At 37.6% G+C, this 19,256-nt stretch overlaps 1 annotated feature.

The window, feature by feature from the left end:
• Positions 15,954–17,153: an enhancer, noted in NCBI's record as "P300/CBP strongly-dependent group 1 enhancer chr8:90623836-90625035 (GRCh37/hg19 assembly coordinates)". NCBI's record gives its function as "activates an origin of replication core promoter dependent on BRD2, BRD4, P300/CBP, MED14 and CDK7 cofactors, with strong dependence on P300/CBP, by STARR-seq in HCT116 cells {active_cell/tissue: HCT116}" and the evidence as "EXISTENCE:reporter gene assay evidence [ECO:0000049][PMID:35650434]".

Genomic DNA, 19,256 nt, shown 5'->3' on the forward strand with positions numbered 1-19,256 from the left:
ACAGCTGCTGAGCTTGCAAAGGAATGAAGAAAAAAATGTGAAAAACATCTGCAAGCATGTCATTCAAAAAAGACCTTGAGATAAGTTAACCCTAACATGTGAAAATCAGGACTTGGCGGACAAGTAAATTTTGTGTTATTTTACCCAGTTTCTGAATTGTGGAAGGAGAAAATAACATACTCAACTTTATCCCTCTGAAATACTTGAGTTCCTTTCAACTCTAAAGGTCACTGTTGAATACTTCTGACAAATACTTTTTAAATTAATCTCCATAAAACAAAGCATTTACATTTCAGCTTGATACCAGAAAAACAATATCCTGAATGAGAAGTTTTGTACTACACAGCATCAGTTTATATTCTTTTACAATGGAGTAAGATCACACATTGATCCCCTAGCTACACGCAGAAGATAATAAATAAAACACAAACACAGGACAGGCTGACCCCCAATTCGGCAATCATAAGCAAGCATTACCAGCAGGGCTACTGCTGGCACCATGGGCTCTGCATGATGTCATAATACAGTTCACTGTTAAGGACAGGAAGTAGACCTGGAGGACTTAAGATATCCATGTAGTTAAAATGATGCAATGAATTGTGGAAACATTAAGTAAACTTCAACACTGTCATCTTGCTGTTGGATAGTGCTCTACTTGGCAAAATACAATAATGGTGAAACAAGACCATTTCACACAATGACAACTGCAATAAACACAGTAAAACAGGGTGATGTGTGAAAGCAACTGAAGTATGTAGTACTTACATAGGACAGGGGTGGTTATTGTCATGTAAGATCTCTTGGGAAAGGTAATACTTCAGCTGTGTCCTGAACAATGAAGAACCATAGATGTCAAGATCTGGGGTAATGAGATTATGGGGAGAAGGAACAACAAATTCACACAATTAGTGAACAGTAGTGCTGAAAACTTAAACTCAGTCTTCTACTCTTTCCATTATCGGAATCTCTCTCTTTTTACTTAGTAAATGACAAACTGTGACCAATAGGTAACACAGCACCCATGAAGTCAAATTAAGGCTATCATAACATTCTTTTTTTTTATTATTATACTTTAAGTTTTAGGGTACATGTGCACAATGTGCAGGTTAGTTACGTATGTATACATGTGCCATGCTACTGTGCTGCACCCATTAACTCGTCATTTAGCATTAGGTATATCTCCTAATGCTATCCCTCCCCTCTCCGCCCACCTCACAACAGTCCCCAGAGTGTGATGTTCCCCTTCCTGTGTCCATGTGATCTCATCGTTCAATTCCCACCTATGAGGCAGCATATACGGTGTTTGGTTTTGTGTTCTTGCGATAGTTTACTAAGAATAATGATTTCCAATTTCATCCATGTCCCTACAAAGGACATGAATTCATCATTTTTATGGCTGCATAGTATTCCAGGGTGTATATGTGCCACATTTTCTTAATCCAGTCTATCATTGTTGGACATTTGGGTTGGTTCCAAGTCTTTGCTATTGTGAATAGTGCCGCAATAAACATACATGGCATGTGTCTTTATAGCAGCATGATTTATAGTCCTTTGGGTATATACCCAGTAATGGGATGGATGGGTCAAATGGTATTTCCAGTTCTAGATCCCTGAAGAATCGCCATACTGACTTCCACAAGGGTTGAAATAGTTTACAGTCCCACCAACAGTGTAAAAGTGTTCCTATTTCTCCACATCCTCTCCAGCACCTGTTGTTTCCTGACATTTGAATGATTGCCATTCTAACTGGTGTGAGATGGTATCTCATTGTGGTTTTGATTTGCATTTTTCAGATGGCCAATGATGGTGGGCATTTTTTCATGTGCTTTTTGGCTGCATAAATGTCTTCTTTTGAGAAGTGTCTGTTCATGTCCTATGCCCACTTTTTGATGGGGTTGTTTGTTTTTTTCTTGTAAATTTGTTTGAGTTCATTGTAGATTCTGGATATTAGTCCTTTGTCAGATGAGTACGTTGCGAAATTTTCTCCCATTTTGTAGGTTGCCTGTTCACTCTGATGGTAGTTTCTTTTGCTGTGCAGAAGCTCTTTAGTTTAATTAGATCCCATTTGTCAATTTTGTCTTTTGTTGCCATTGCTTTTGGTGTTTTAGACATGAAGTCCTTGCCCATGCCTATGTCCTGAATGGTAATGCCTAGGTTTTCCTCTAGAGTTTTTATGGTTTTAGGTCTAACGTTTAAGTATTTATTCAATTCAACAAGAAGAGCTAACTATCCTAAATATATATGCACCCAATACAGGAGGACCCAGTTTCATAAAGCAAGTCCTGAGTGACCTACAAAGAGACTTAGACTCCCACACAATAATAATGGGAGACTTTAACACCCCACTGTCAACATTAGACAGATCAATGAGACACAAAGTTAACATGGATACCCAGGAATTGAACTGAGCTCTGCATCAAGTGGATCTAATAGACACCTACAGAACTCTCCACCCCAAATCAACAGAATATACATTTTTTTCAGCACCGCACCACACCTATTCCAAAATTGACCACATACTTGGAAGTAAAGCTCTCCTCAGCAAATGTAAAGGAACAGAAATTATAACAAACTATCTCTCAGACCACAGTGCAATCAAACTAGAACTCAGGATTAAGAAACTCACTCAAAGCCACTCAACTACATGGAAACGGAACAACCTGCTCCTGAATGACTACTGGGTACATAACGAAATGAAGGCAGAAATAAAGATGTTCTTTGAAACCAACGAGAACAAAGATACAACATACCAGAATCTCTGGGACTCATTCAAAGCAGTGTGTAGAGGGAAATTTATAGCACTAAATGCCCACAAGAGAAAGCAGGAAAGATCCAAAATTGACACCCTAACATCACAATTAAAAGAACTAGAAAAGCAAGAGCAAACACATTCAAAAGCTAGCAGAAGGCAAGAAATAACTAAAATCAGAGCAGAACTGAAGGAAATACAGACACAAGAAACCCTTCAAAAAATTAATGAATCCAGGAGCTGGTTTTTTGAAAGGATCAACAAAATTGATAGACCGCTAGCAAGACTAATAAAGAAGAAAAGAGAGAAGAATCAAATAGACACAATGAAAAATGATAAAGGGGATATCACCACCGATCCCACAGAAATACAAACTACCATCAGAGAATACTACAAACACCTCTACGCAAATAAACTAGAAAATCTAGAAGAAATGGACAAATTCCTCGACACATACACCCTCCCAAGACTAAACCAGGAAGAAGTTGAATCTCTGAATAGACCAATAACAGGATCTGAAATTGTGGCAATAATCAATAGCTTACCAACCAAAAAGAGTCCAGGACCAGATGGATTCACAGCCGAATTCTACCAGAGGTATAAGGAGGAATTGGTACCATTCCTTCTGAAACTATTCCAATCAATAGAAAAAGAGAGAATCCTCCCTAACTCATTTTATGAGGCCAGCATCATCCTGATACCAAAGCCAGGCAGAGACACAGCCAAAAAAGAGAATTTTAGACCAATATCCTTGATGAACATTGTTGCAAAAATCCTCAATAAAATACTGGCAAACCAAATCCAGCAGCACATCAAAAAGCTTATCCACCATGATCAAGTGGGCTTCATCCCTGGGATGCAAGGCTGGTTCAATATACGCAAATCAATAAATGTAATCCAGCTTATAAACAGAGCCAAAGACAAAAACCACATGATTATCTCAATAGATGCAGAAAAGGCCTTTGACAAAATTCAACAGCCCTTCATGCTAAAAACTCTCAAGAAATTAGGTATTGAGGGGACGTATCTCAAAATCATAAGAGCTATCTATGACAAACCCACAGCCAATATCATACTGAATGGGCAAAAACTGGAAGCATTCCCTTTGAAAACTGGCACAAGACAGGGATGCCCTCTCTCACCACTCCTATTCAACATAGGGTTGGAAGTTCTGGCCAGGGCAATCAGGCAGGACAAGGAAATAAAGGGTATTCAATTAGGAAAAGAGGAAGTCAAATTGTCCCTGTTTGCAGATGACATGATTGTATATCTGGAAAACCCCATTGTCTCAGCCCAAAATCTCCTTAAGCTGATAAGCAACTTCAGCAAAGTCTCAGGATACAAAATCAATGTACAAAAATCACAAGCATTCTTATACACCAATAACAGACAAACAGAGAGCCAAATCATGAGTGAACTCCCATTCACAATTGCTTCAAAGAGAATAAAATACCTAGGAATCCACCTTACAAGGGGCGTGAAGGACCTCTTCAAGGAGAACTACAAACCACTGCTCAATGAAATAAAAGAGGATACAAACAAATGGAAGAACATTCCATGCTCATGGGTAGGAAGAATGAATATCGTGAAAATGGCCATACTGCCCAAGGTAATTTATAGATTCAATGCCATCCCCATCAAGCTACCAATGACTTTCTTCACAGAATTGGAAAAAACTACTTTAAAGTTCATATGGAACCAAAAAAGAGCCCGCATCACGAAGTCAATCCTAAGCCAAAAGAACAAAGCTGGAGGCATCACACTACCTGACTTCAAACTATACTACAAGGCAATGGTAACCAAAACAGCATGGTACTGGTACCAAAACAGAGATATAGATCAATGGAACAGAATAGAGCCCTCAGAAACAACGCCGCATATCTACAACTATCTGATCTTTGACAAACCTGAGAAAAATAAGCAATGGGGAAAGGATTCCCTATTTAATAAATGGTGCTGGGAAAACTGGCTAGCCATATGTAGAAAGCTGAAACTGGATCCCTTCCTTACACCTTATACATAATATTCTTATCTACCATCTTTTTAAAAAATCAGTATTGAAATTGATCATATGTTCCAATTAAGAGCTAAAATTTTCAATTTTAATCAATATGAAATCATTTTAATAGAAAATAACATGTATCCAAATTAAGGCCCGTATTTGATATTTAATTGCAAGTTTTTGTCCCTCAAAGCATTTTTATGAAATTATTTGCCTTCCAGTGACACAAGAATAAATATACAAGTCTTGAGTAAAAAGATAACTTCTTTGCTGTAAACCTAAAACATCTCTTTGAAAAAGTCTATTAAAAAGTTTAATACCTTAAATGCTAAAACCTTAATGTGACATTTAAGATAGTCTAGAATGTGTATATATATATATATACACACACATATACATATACATATATATACATATACATATACATACATACATATACATATACATATACATATACATATACATATACATATACATACACATATACATATATAGTGCTTCATCCCCCAGTCTAAATCTTTTGGATGGGTATCAGAAATTGTCATCAAATGGAAAAAAAACCACACACACTATTATATACAAAATCAAAAATGTCGAAAACACGAATTCAGAACATCAAAATCAAAAGATCTAGGAGGGTACCACTTCCAAGGAGATGGTACTTTATAGTAGAAAGATCTAGACTGGGAGTAAGTAGATTTGGCTTCTCATTTGACTGTCGCTAGCCAGATATAAGACCTTGGAAAACTGGCCGGGCACGGTGGCTAACGCCTGTAATCCCAGCACTTTGGGAGGCCAAGGCAGGCGGATCACGAGATCAGGAGATCGAGACCATCCTGGCTAACACGGTGAAACCCCGTCTCTACTAAAAATACAAAAAATTAGCCGGGCGTGGTGGTGGGTGCCCGTAGTCCCAGCTACTCCAGAGGCTGAGGCAGGAGAATGGCCTGAACCTGGGAGGCGCGTCTTGCAGTGAGCCGAGATCGCGCCACTGCACTCCAGCCTGGGCGACAGAGCAAACTCCGTCTCAAAAAAAAAAAAAAAAAAAAAAAAAGACCTTCGAAAATTAATTAACCTCCTCAAATCTGCTTTTTACTCGTAAAATTGGTGTAAAAACATTCGTTCTTTCTACCTTGCAAGATTGTTGTGTGGATCAAGTGAAATGATAACTGGAAGTTTTCAAAATATAGTACCACCCAATTAAAATAAAATAACTTTCCCCCTCCCATACACACATCTCTCCCTAAAAACATTAGCTAAAATAATCAGTGCTGGCCCATCACCAGCTGAAAAAGAAAACATACTAAAATATTTTTTCAAGTTCACCTACAAAAATTAGCAGTTGTGCACTAAATTATAAAGTTTATGCATTTATATCTCATGACACATTTAAAAGTTCTCCACTACTTAGGGCAGAGTGATTAGAGAATTAAATTCATTTCCAATTCTAGACTGTTGGCTTTAAGAAAAAAAACCTTAAAAGATTTCCAGCTCTCAATACTCAACATTTTTAGTGGAAGATTTTTGCTTATTTACCATATGCAATTGTGACTAAAAGTGAACCTGCTTGTTTTATTATTTTATTCTCTTTCACATTCTCAGTGCTTATCAGTCACTCTCACACCTCATTACCTGGAAAGATGTGCCTCAGAATACACAATAAAGCATCTCTCAGAGGTGCCTGACTTCAACAAGCAGCAAGTCACTGTTTTCTCTGTTTCAAATGGAAATCAGTGTTGCCTTAAGAATGCTGGACAATACTGTCAGTTATCATCAGTCTTTTATGGACAACATTCAAGACTAAATTAGAATTTGTCCTTGTCTGGCTAATCTTTCTCTTATTTTAGAGAATCTGTTAAAAAAAATAACACTGAGGCTGGGGACTTGTTTTTCACAGATTTGTGTTTTTATTTTGAAATGTTAGGCAGTGGTAGGCTATGTTTTGCAGAAGTTGCTATTTAGTAGGCTAAGCATTGGTTTTAACTGCAGACTTTTATTCCTTGAATCCTTAGAATCCTTTAATACTAAAAATGATTTCAATAGACTATGAGGTTCTTAAAAAAGAAATAAAAACATATTTTATCTAGCTTTTATCCCCAACACCTAACCCCATGCTTGTCACATCAACTGGCACCCATTGGTAATTCTTATATAATCAGGGATTTCAGGGAGTCCTTGAAATTAATCACTAAGGTGACCTACTTCTAAACAATCTAAGCTTCTGGAATATTCTGCCCTCTCAGAGTTAAACCACAGTATTTCACGAACTGAATTCCCTACTGTCAAGCAACTCTCACTAAAACTAAACAGTTACCATATGCATGATTCCAATTTTTAAAAATGTTTTTCCTAATTAAGCTGAAATTTCCAGTTCATGTGTGTGCTGGAGGTGAATATCCACATTCATTATATTATATACACCATTTGTCTTTGAGAAATTTTGAGAAAGTGTGGTCCTGTGTTTAATAGTGTGAACTATCTAAAGAAGACAACCATATATATATATATAATTTTCAAGTACCAATCCTCTTCTCTATCACAATAATTCTGGGGAGTAGTTAGGAGAGCAGGCAATATTCCACAGGCAAGATATCTGGCAGGGGAAACCTTCTAGCCATATTTAGTTGATGATTTACTATGATTTAAGGCTTATGTCACTTACTTTTTTTTTCTCTTTACATACTTTAAAGGGTTTTCTGGTCTTCATCTTGATTTTTAAAGTGGATATTATTTTAACTTCAAAAGTGACTGTTTTATTTTTAGAAAATACTGCTCACATCCACAGTGGCACCTTGTTGACCTGAGTACCATGGGATAAAGAAGTCTGAGACCATGCTCAGTTTATGAGATGTGTGGCTATTTAACTCAGCATCACCATACCTCCTCTAAATATCTCCAAATCCCCTTCCCTACATAGTTCCAAGATAGTGTAATAGTGAAGAGTTAACTCCAATTTTGACATTTGACTACTGACAGTTTTTCAAACTCCATGACTCCCCTTCTGCCTTCTGTACCGCATCTGGGAAAGCTGAGAAAGCCTGGTAACAGCTTCCTTTGTGCCAGTGGAAAGTTTAAACTGTGCAAGCTCTGGCCTATGGATGTGCAAAAATCATGACAACTCTACCTCCTAACCACAATAAAAGCCAAACAGTCTCTATTCTCCTTCAAGCAATTTTTTGGATCTGCTTGGAAGCATGCCCTGCTCTCTCCACAAAGTCTCATTATGTAACAAACCTTTTTATACTCTCTTGATACCTGCATGGATATCATTAGTCTTGATATTCAAATCAAATTTGGGGTGGAGGATCATCTCATTTTTACAAGATGACCACAAGTGCCAAGGAAAGATCATAATTTCCCAGAGGCAGATGCAGCCATATGCATGAGCAGACATGAGATTCACTGCAGCTTTAAAGTGGCCCTTTGCAAACCTCTCACTTAAATGCTACATATCAGGACAGTTGCAGAAGAGATTTCTGGAGAAGCCTGAGATTTGCAGTGGCTTCCAAGTGAGCTTGAAGAACCACTGCTTCAGTGATGTACTAATGGTGACTTTCTTGCCTTTTTTTCTCCTGTCTGTCAATGATTCTATAAACCTCAAATTTCCTACTAGACCCTCCATTCTTGGAATATATAGGGGACTTCCATTTTCTAGACTGAAGCCTGACTGAAAGAATCAATCAATAGCAGGAACAACTGAGTCTCAGACTTAGTCTACAGATTGACACTCAATATAATATTTATCTTATGATGGCAGACTTCCCCTTTATCCATGAGAGTCTTAGTCAGCAAAATGAAGTAGCATGAAGAAATCGGTGCCAATTTAAGGGAGAAAGCTATCACAGTAATTCTGGGGAGTAGTTAGGTCAAGAATCTAAAGGAGAAGAGAAGGCAATATTCCACAGGTGGGATCAAACCTAGAGCCAGAGATGAAGCTGGAAGGGAATGAGATATCATATGGAGTTGGGTAAGGAGAGGATGCATTTTTCAAACACAGTGAATCTTTGGCAAATATGCTGAACAATTTGCTGTTGGTGAGACCGTGTTTTATTAGCCTACACTCAAATTTTGCTGTTCTCTCCTATGTATCTTCTAAGAATCGCATGGCTCCCAATTCACTGTGCCTCAACTATCATGCCCTGCATGATAAGACCTGACTGGAATGGAGTCCATGGACATATCTAGGAGAAAATCCAGCTATGGATGCCCAAGGAAGCAAGTAAAAGCAGCTCCAAGGCCTAAAGTTAAAATATGCTTTTGTTGAAGAGTTTCTAGGACTGATTTCCAGAAAACCAAGTTACAGACCAAAGAATGTATATGTTTCTGGAAGGCAATGCCCTTGCTCTTGTTTTTATAAATTCTCTGGGCACTGTGTTGCTGCCCATATTGGCTTTAATGTCCATGAACTTCTTGGGGGAAGTCTGTCTTTAAGACTCTTTAAAGCCACTGAATAATTTTTAACATTATTTTTAAGTTTTATACCATTTTTTCTTATATATCTGCAGAAATCAGCACCTTCCACCCTGACTGCAACTCCCTTATTATGTTATTCATGGAATCATTTGCCACTGCTGTGACCAGTTGTGCTTCAAAATACATCAGTATCACAAATTAATGACTGAAATTTTCATTGATGTCTTCATGTAAACACAGCCTGAATTTGTCTGTTTATTATTTTTCCTGATTCCTCTTTTAACCCTTAATGATAACTGCTACATCTTCCAATCCAATATCTGCGGCCCCTTTTCTCTCAGCTAGGATGATATGCAACTCACTCTGGTTTTCTTTTCATTTATCCCTAAGATAAAGAGAAAAGACTAGAAATTGCAAAGTGTTTTCATAAGTTTCAAATCTGCTGAAAGAGGCGATATGGGAGAACTATGCAGAGGGGAATTATTTTGCTTATTGAAGACTAAAATCAACTTGTAAGATAGTGGATACAAATATAAAATAGCAATGACCTCATAATTGTACATTTTTGCTGAAGAATTAGGTACATCTATAGCTTTGTCCATTGTGCTTGAGGATGAAGTTATCATTAATATTTTCTTCTGATTCCTGATTCCTGATCCTGAGTCTGAGGTTTTTGAAACAGCAATGACATAAGAGATAGCATTAAAGTTCCATCCTGGTGATGGTGAGTGACTAGGATGGAAGAAAACAAAGTAGGACACCAGTAATCAATATTGGTAATCAAATGTTTTAGAAACAATAATACAACAGAAATAGATTATACCTTCATCCAAATGCAAACATACTAATTTGCATGCTCTTTGACATAGACACATAAACGCAAAGTCATATTCAATCATACTCACACCATTTGACTAATGTACATTCATATATGATATATGATAGACCAAGAAAGATTCAGAAACATAGATCTCCCAGATGCAGCTCACGCAGATGTCTGAGACTGATAATCCCCTAGATAGAGCACAAACATACATGTATATTTAGGCCCACACTACCCCAGTGTACACTCACAAAAACATTCCACAACTGCACCACTGCTAGCATTCAGAAGCCCTTAGCCATGTAATAAGTCCACCCTCTGTTATATGCACTTATCTGTAATGTAATTGTAATGTAATGCGATCAATTTTATCCTTAAGTATTTTGTCTCTTTTCACTGATTAACAGCTAAGTTCCTAGAAACTTATTTTGACAATCTTATTGATGAAATATTCACAAGAAAAATCAAAATAAAAACTGAAGCACACTTCAAATCGCTGAGTGCAAAATATTGAATCATCTTTTACTACTACGAAATTTAGTCTGGTACTCAGCTGAAAGTTGAATTTTCTTGAGTACTTTTACAACAGAGCAGTCATTTAAATAGCATTTTCCCCTTTGCTTTGGATTATGGTCTGCATAGAAGTACTTTGAAAGCTAGGAAATATTTCTACTCTAATTAAAGCATATAAACACTTCAGACTAAGTGTAGGCATGTGAAGTTCCTATTCAATTTTAGGAATTGAGTACTTTGGGAAAAAAAATAAAACTCTGGTATTAAATAGTACATAATTGCAAGAGTTAAAGAATAAAAGATCTAACATAATAAAGTATATGTTGGGAATTCAGGAAAAGCCCACAAACTTGCAGAAACAAAGATCTTCATCTATAATAGCTAAGGCTATTGACATTGTTAGCTATGACATAACAGAGGGTTTATCCAAAGGTCCTTTGTAAGGTTCATTCTAGGTTTCGCTTTGTATTTAAAAATGGAATCTTATACATGTTAATTATACTATTCCCCTGCTGTTTTTAGTACTAATACAAATTCATAAGGCTTGATGTCCCCTCAAAGCAATTGGGATTTCAACCTTCAGTTCACCTACTGATGTCACTATGTCTCTTGAAGGAGGACAAAATCTAAGGCCTAAATATAAATTTTATATGCTGTTCAACACCTACATGAGAGTTGTTCTGATAATAAATTATATTTAGAAGACTCTTTTTTGCATGTTTTCAGATTAAAAACCGGATATAAATATGTCAAAGTTCATGGTTGGTAAAGCGCTGCCTTTCAGTACAGTCAGTGGACCATAAAACTGCTGTTAGACATAAACTGCTTACCACACTGATAAAAAGGAACAGCTGTGTCTAAAGCAAAGGTCCTACTCAGTTAGGAGTGTCCTACAGACACCAAGAGCAGCAAAAAGATTGAAAGATGAGTAACCATTGTAAAGTGTATCAGGTTTTCATTTTGTGGTGCCCTAAGTTAGAATATTCAGATGGCAATAATTATTACATTTTTAACTAATAATAATATTATCTTTTCTGGAATGGCTTACTCAACCTCCATTTTCTCCTCTTTCTAGTTGAGAAGCTGGAAATCTAAAATTTATATTTCCCAGATTCCCTTGCAACTAGGGTATTATGTGCAAATCAGGTTCTACCTTGTTAATATGCTCAGGTGATATGTGGAAGAGAAAATTGAGGCAAAGACCATCTTCCTATGACTCTTGGCTGTTGCTGCTGGCTAGCACAGTCATGGAAACATGGAACTTCCCTGCAGAAACTTTACATTATCCACTCTCCAGCTTCCTGGGCATCCAGAAGTAATAGTAGTAATAGCAGATTTTTGATTTAACTTCCCTGGAGAACAATTTTAATTGTCCATTCTCCAGATTTCTCAGACAGTTGGAGAAGCATTGGATGTAGTTCTTGCTCTGACATAGGTCTAATGGTGGCCCAAAGGTATCACCTCTGCATATTTCTGAGAATCATCTAGGAGGCTCATCCTAGAATTTGCTCCTTTGGCCCTTCCAATACATTTGCAAGCTTCAAAATCCCTGAATTAAATCCCTATCTGCTTAAAGTACCTAGAGTGGTTTCTGTTTCATGCAATGAACCCTGACTGGCCTCTTATCTTTTGTTGCTTTATCTAGTTTACAAAGTAGGCTGTGTGATACAGTGAAAGAGATGTTTTACAATTGAATTCAAACCCTGGTATGTGAGGTCACATAATTTTTCCTAGCCTCAGTTTCCTTATTTCTAGAGTAAAGGAGGATCATAGTTACTTCCAAAGATAAATACATCTTTATTAATGTATACCTTATAAATAAAGTTCCTCTCTCAGCATAAAGCATAGAATTGGTTCTTTAAAAGTCCTCTATTCTTTCACATACATACATCAGGCCATTTATATCAAGTCTCATTCAATGAATGTAAGATACTCAGCAAAAATTATCTTTTTCCTTTTTCCTGCTCACATATGTAATCTTGTCTATATTATATTCTTAATGTAAAACAAATATTAGTTTTTTCATGAAATCTATGGATCTGAATACCCACTAGGCACATATTAGATTATCAAAAAAAATGAATTTGATTAATCTATATCAAAACTTATCACAACAAGATTATCAGTTTATAAATATTGACTCATGAACTCTCTCATATGCTATTAGAGAATGTCAAAAGAAAACTACTCAAAAAGCCAAGGTTTACAAATGAGACACCAATTAACTGCCTAACCATTGAGCTCTTGTTTATTGTAAAGAACTAAAAAATGGTGATTTTTTTCCTACATTGATAACACTTTAAACCTCATAATCTTTGAGGTAGGTATTATTAAGCAATTAAGAGTACTGATGGAGTCGAGCCCCTTCTAACCATGTGACCCTAGACAAGTTTTCTAGCTTCTTTGAACCCCAGTCCCAACAGTTATGCATGAGTATAATAAAAGTTCCTATCTGCCTGGGCTAGTAATAGAATGAAATAAGCCACTAGGCACAGTGGCTCACACCTACAATCTCAACACTTTGGGAGGCCAAGGTGGGAGGATCACTTGAGTCCAGGAGTTCAAGACCATTCTGGGCAACAACAGTGAGACCCCATCTCTACACAAAATGTAAAAATTAGCCAGCATGCTGGTGCATGCCTGTGGTCCCAGCTACTTGGGAGGCTGAGGTAGGTAGGAGCATCACTTGAGCCCAGAAGGTCAAGGCTACAGTAAGCTGTTATCATACCACTGTACTCCATCCATCATGGGCAACACAGCAAGACCCTGTCTCAACAACAACAACAAAAGCCATTTGGTGTTGTTATGCTCCTTTACATTCTATACTCTGGAATCTCTTGTACCTAGTCCTAAGAGATGATATTTCCATACACTAACCAGCTTCCCTAAACTCCTTTTTCCTTGAACTTCACTGCAATCAAATTCTTTCTATTTGTGCTGTGAACCTGGAAAAATGCAACTGCTTTCTTTAACTTTCTCCTGTCTCTCCTCTGTTCCCTTAAGATTTGGAATTCAATCTTGTGATTGCTTCCATCCAAGATACTCATCTGTCTTTAGATACCCCACTGTTGACCAGATACAAAACACAAAGGGCATCTGTCCTCCTTGATTTTTATTGTTTTGTGCACTAGGGGATGCCCCAGGGGATGCAGCTCAGAACCCTGTTTGATGATCTGCAGCCTGATGTGTTGTCCTTTGGCAGCCAACTGGGTCAAGTTTCCCAATAGCAATCTTCAAGGCTTTAGCCCATCAAGACAAGATCAGAGGAGCATTCATCTTGGTAAGCTGAGCTTTTTCATTCTCTCCTCTTCATAGACAACCCCATTATTATTCATTCATACCTTCAACAAAAGTTTAATTTTAAAAAATAACATGAGTGTTATAATAATTTTCTACAAGTATAGTAATTAATTCTGGTCTTTAAAATTCTGCTTTGAAATAAGAGTTTTGTGCCATATTTTTAGTTCTAATGTCTGGGGGACAGAAGAATAAATCCTGATACTCTGGAGCATGCTACATAGAATTATCCACATGAGAAGCAAGTTAACTGCACATCACTGCCTACTGTTTGGAAAGTCTGCTTTCATTATTTCTATTTGGGCACATATTTTTGGAACCCTTGCTGTTTTCTAGTGTCCACTGTGTCTTAATTCAAATTGTAGTCACATAGATTTGCCATAATATCTAATGTCTGCTGCTGTATAAAATGTCTGGCCAGGTGCAGTGGCTCACACTTATAATCCCAGAACTTTGGGAGGTCAAGGAAAGAGGATCACTTGAGGCCAAGAGTTCTAGACCAGCCTGGTCAACATGGTGACTCTGTCTCTACAAAAGATTTTGGTTTTAAATTAGCCAGGTATGGTGGCACATGCTTGAAGTGCCAGCTATTCAGGAAGCTGCAGCAGGAGGATCCCTTGAGCCTAGGAATTTGAGGCTGCAGTGAGCTATGATTGCATCACTGCACTCCAGCCTGGGCAACAAAGTGAGACCCTATCTCTTAAATAATAAAAATAAAAAAAAGTCTGCGTGTATTTTTGTGGTGCCCCTGGCTCCATTCATACATCAAATTATTTATGCTGTGACATAGGTTGTGTATTAAATTAAATCATCCCAAATGTATCTTTATCCCAATTTGGTAAAAAATGAATTTGGCTTTTTTGTGTGTCATGCAGTAATAAAGGAAATGGTCAATAATCAGAAGCTAAACTTTATAAACTCTTGTATCTATTTTTTAATAGATTGATGATGCATTTTATCTTCATTATTTCCACTCTGTAGTTTTCCTTAGAATTACTTAGTTGTTCACTTTGCACCTGACAGGGATGGTAAAGTGAACATCTTTCTAGGTAAAAAAGGGTGAATAAGATACTCTCCCTATTCTCAAGGCCACAATCTAATATGGTTAGTCTTTCTTACACAAAGCCATAAATTGATGCCCCTTCTCATTAGAAGCAACATATCTTTGTTTCTGTTTTGTTGGCTTTATAAATGTCTAAGCACAAGTGATCTATATGGCCAAACCACACTCCTTTTTATTCCGCTTTAGGTGTCCTGACCAGGACTTTTCTAGAACAATACTTGCCCTGTAGCTGCTATTCTGTAAAAACCTAGAAACTGCTTACTCCTGTTTTTTTCTCATGTTAATTGCATTTGTTTACATAAAATTTACAACAGCTATCAGGAACTGTATTTTGTTATCCTAAATTAGTGTTTCACAAACTTATTCTGGTACCTCAGCCTCCCTCAGATCCGTATAGACTCCACTTACTTTGGAACTCGATTGCTTTGTTTTTATTAGGGCAATCTTACTAAAGGAAAAGGATGCTAGGTCAACATGAAATGATACGGTAGTTAGCAAGATGATTCAAACATGTACAAAAGCTTGTTTTCCATCCAAATGTTATAGTATCTGACATTTCACTACTAGAGATTCATTCCTTTGTATTGTGTTCCTTACCATCTGCTGTAAGTGCTGGTAACATCACACTAATTTACACTGAAAGGACAAAGGGTTATGTTCTAGCAAGGACTTCCTGCTATGGATGCTTTAGTGAAGATTTTTCTTCATTATTTTTAGTAATACTATCAACCATTTATTGATTGCCTAATGCGTAATGAAGTACTACACATTTCACAGTTCTATTATTTAATATGTACAACAACTCTGTAAGAGGTGTTATTATCATCCATATTTTACAGATGAGAGGAAGTTTAGGAGAGTAGTTAGCACTGGCTCTGAGAAGAGATTGAAACAGTTAAAATTTCACATTCATTACTTACTAGCACTGTGTCCTTGGAAAACGTACAGTTTCATCACCTGTAAAACAAGGGCAATGGTATTTTCCTCCTGAGCTTGCTACAAAGGTAAACAAATGCCTGACACAGAGTGAGTCTGAAATACAGGGGCCATATAAGAATAAGCAAACAATGATCAGAGGTCAAGCAACTTGCCCAAGACACCAACAAATAAGAGCCCCATAGCCTGGACTACCTCCATGACAGTGTGATGATTTTTGCAAAAAGTAGGCATGTCTCTATACCTCTGAGTCTTTCCAAAACAATTTAGGTAAATAAATATAAAACAGGAAGACAATAGTCACTATGATAATAACAGACACTGCAAAATTGACTTATCTCCCCCAGAATGGGCCGTCTTTCCTAGCCAGCATCATTAAGGCCAGCTATGGATTCAGCAACAGCAGCTTCATTTCTCTTCCTGGCTTCATGTGGATTGGTTTTCCAGTCGATCTGTGACACTAATTCTCCTCTATTAGGAGCTCCGTGAGTCAGTGGCAATACCGAGGCTGAGTCATGTTGGGTAAGCAATGATGCAGTCCTGAGACATGAGAGATAGCAATTAAAAATGACCTTTGTTGTCTCCACACGACTGGCTCCATACTTTCACATTAGTATCAGCAAAGAAGGTATTTCCTGGCTCGTGAGTAGGAAATGTAACTGTTAACAAAGACATGATTATACAACTGAGAAGAAGAAACCGAGAGAATAAGGCTCCTACTCATGCTGTGATTGGGACTGAACATAAGTCTTCCATTTTGCTTTTTAGTTTATTCAACTTGGCACTGCAGACAACTAATGATTTCCAATTCAAACATTTTAAGTCTCTTTTTCTCTTACTGACATATTTTTTTCTCATCTAGCAATTTTTATTGCCCCCAGACCTAGTCTTTTGTGTCCGGTATTTTGCAAGAACTATCAGAATAATCAAACATAAACTTTAAGAAAAAAGTTGCTTTCTTCTACTCTCTCCTAATACCTCCTGCAGGGATATAAGAGATTGTCTACTTCTTCATTATTTTAACAAGGCTTCTTTTCCTTATAACACTAAGGTTGTATAACGATCTTCCCTAATTTTATTCCTTGGGGCTGAACAAGTCTGATAACTCCATTTCCAAAGTAAGAAAAGGAAGCCAAAATCATCAACCAGCTTTCTTTTTACCGAATGTTCTGTTTTTTTAAAGAAGAAAACCTTTCCTTTGGTAGAAAATGCCACTTGATTATGACAAACACTCGTGAAACTTCTGTCTTCTTGAAAATAGCGAATATCTTAAAATTCACAAAATTTTTCACAGATTAGAAGAAATTAGTTGGAATAGGTGTGCTCTTAAAGGCCAAACTACCTGAGCTCCGGCTCTGCTTTTCCCGCTGTCTCTCCAGCAGCATCATGTGGCGGTCCTGCCAAAAACTCACATTCAGCTGGTTCAAAGCTTAAAGCTCTACCCTATCCTCCAACTTTCCTCTCATAGAAAAGGGCGCCCCCAGCTTGCCTTGCAGATGTCTTCAGGTTCTCCCTCCCCTCACCACAGATACCCAGTTCATCACCAAGTGCTGTCAGCTCTCCATGTCAGCAGCTCTTGTTTCTGTCTTCTCTTTCTCATTGTCACTACTTGGCCCTCTCAAATGACCTATTGCAGGAACCTCATCAATGGTCTTCTTGCCTCCTCTAATATCCTTCACAGAGTCACCAACATTATCTTTCCAAAACAAAGATCAGTTTCCAGCTGCCTACAGAATGTTATCAAGACATAACCTGATAGCCACCTTCCTTCCTGATTCCCTCTCATTACATCCTCCCCACATTTTGGATGCTCTAGCCACACTGGAAAACTCACTGTTGCCCAAACATGCCCATCTCATTGCTCAGAGCACTTCTTCCTTCTCAATGCTTCCCCAACTTTACTTTTTCAAAGACGGAGTCTTGCTATATTGCCCAACTGGTGTGCACTAGCTATTCACAAGCACACTCATAGTGCACTACAGCCTCAAATTCCTGAGCTCAAGCAGTCCTCCTGCCTCAACCTGGACTACAGGTGCACACCACTGCGCCTGGCTCCGTCCCCTAACTTTTTCAAAGTAATGTTACTCTTTCTCTTCTTTGTGCATGATGTACACATTACATTTCATCATAGCGACCAGTGTGATCTTTTTTACAAAACCATCAAATAATATATTTTCTCTGCTTAAATTTTGTGAGCTTCCTCTAAATTCAGAATGATAGATTAGGTACTTCTAAGTGTATTATACAAGGCTCTGCATTTTTCTGGCTCCTGCCTTCATCTCTAGATCTCACTTGTACCACTCTTCTTCTCGCTCTCTATGTTCCTGTCATACAATCTCATTTTTATTCTGTAAAACTCCAATGTCATCCTCACCCTATGGTCTTTGCCCTACCTGCTCTGCCCTACTCCCTCTGCCTGGATTATTCTTCCCTCACAAACTAACATGACTGACTTGTTCAGGCCCTCAGAAGAGCACTCCACTGAAAATAGCCAACACCAACTCACTGCCAAAAAACTTCCTAAATTTTTTTCTAGCACCCGTCACTATCAACATCTCAAATTATTTTATGTGTATATTTCCTTTATGTTCTCATCTGTCTCCTTCCAACAACAGGTAAGCCCCTTGAGGACAGGTTGCTTATGGCTTTGTCCATCACTGAATCCTCAGCACCTAATACAGACCATGACACATTTGATGAGTGTATATTAAAATAATTAAATGGAAAATACAGCACTTGTCATGTATTATCTCGTTTTCAGTAAGTTGTGTACATGTCTTTCTCCCTAGACTGTAATCGTCTTGAAACCAGGGACTATGTACTAATTATATGTATATTCCCCCACAGCAATATCCCAAATTGTCATAGTAGGTATTCAGTAAGTTTTCTGGCTGGAATTGAGTTGAGTAACTCTGTCCTTCACTGAGCTATGCTTATCTCTCCAAATTTAAAGAGCATTTGATCTAGTAAGTTTGACCCCAGCCTCAGCTCTGTCAAATAAGAGCTGTGTGACCATAGTCAAGTAGCTAAACTTCTCTGACTCTCTCTGATTGCATATATGAAAAACAGAAATAATAAAATTTTCTCTGCCTAATTCCAGGGTAGTTGTGAGGATTAAATTAAATCACATAAGCCCTTTCTTCTCATTAAACTGCAAACAGTTCAAGGTCTGAGATACCAGTTGTTTCTTTTTTGCCTAATGTATAGAGAATAGCCTCATGCTGTGTGCACATAGGTCAATCAATAATAGCCATCATTTATCGTGTAGCTACTATGTGACAGACACTGTAATAAGCACCTTTTATAGGACACATCTTATTTAATGTAATCCTTAAAACCATCATGTAAGAATATATATTGGTATCCCCATTTATAGATGAGAAAAATGGCACCTACAGAAGGTAAGAAATGTTCACAAAGCCATACACTTAGTCACTGGCAATGCTGGGATTTGATAGCA

This window comes from Homo sapiens, chromosome 8 (assembly GCF_000001405.40).
Source record: "Homo sapiens chromosome 8, GRCh38.p14 Primary Assembly".
Classification (NCBI taxonomy): Eukaryota; Metazoa; Chordata; class Mammalia; order Primates; family Hominidae; genus Homo; species Homo sapiens.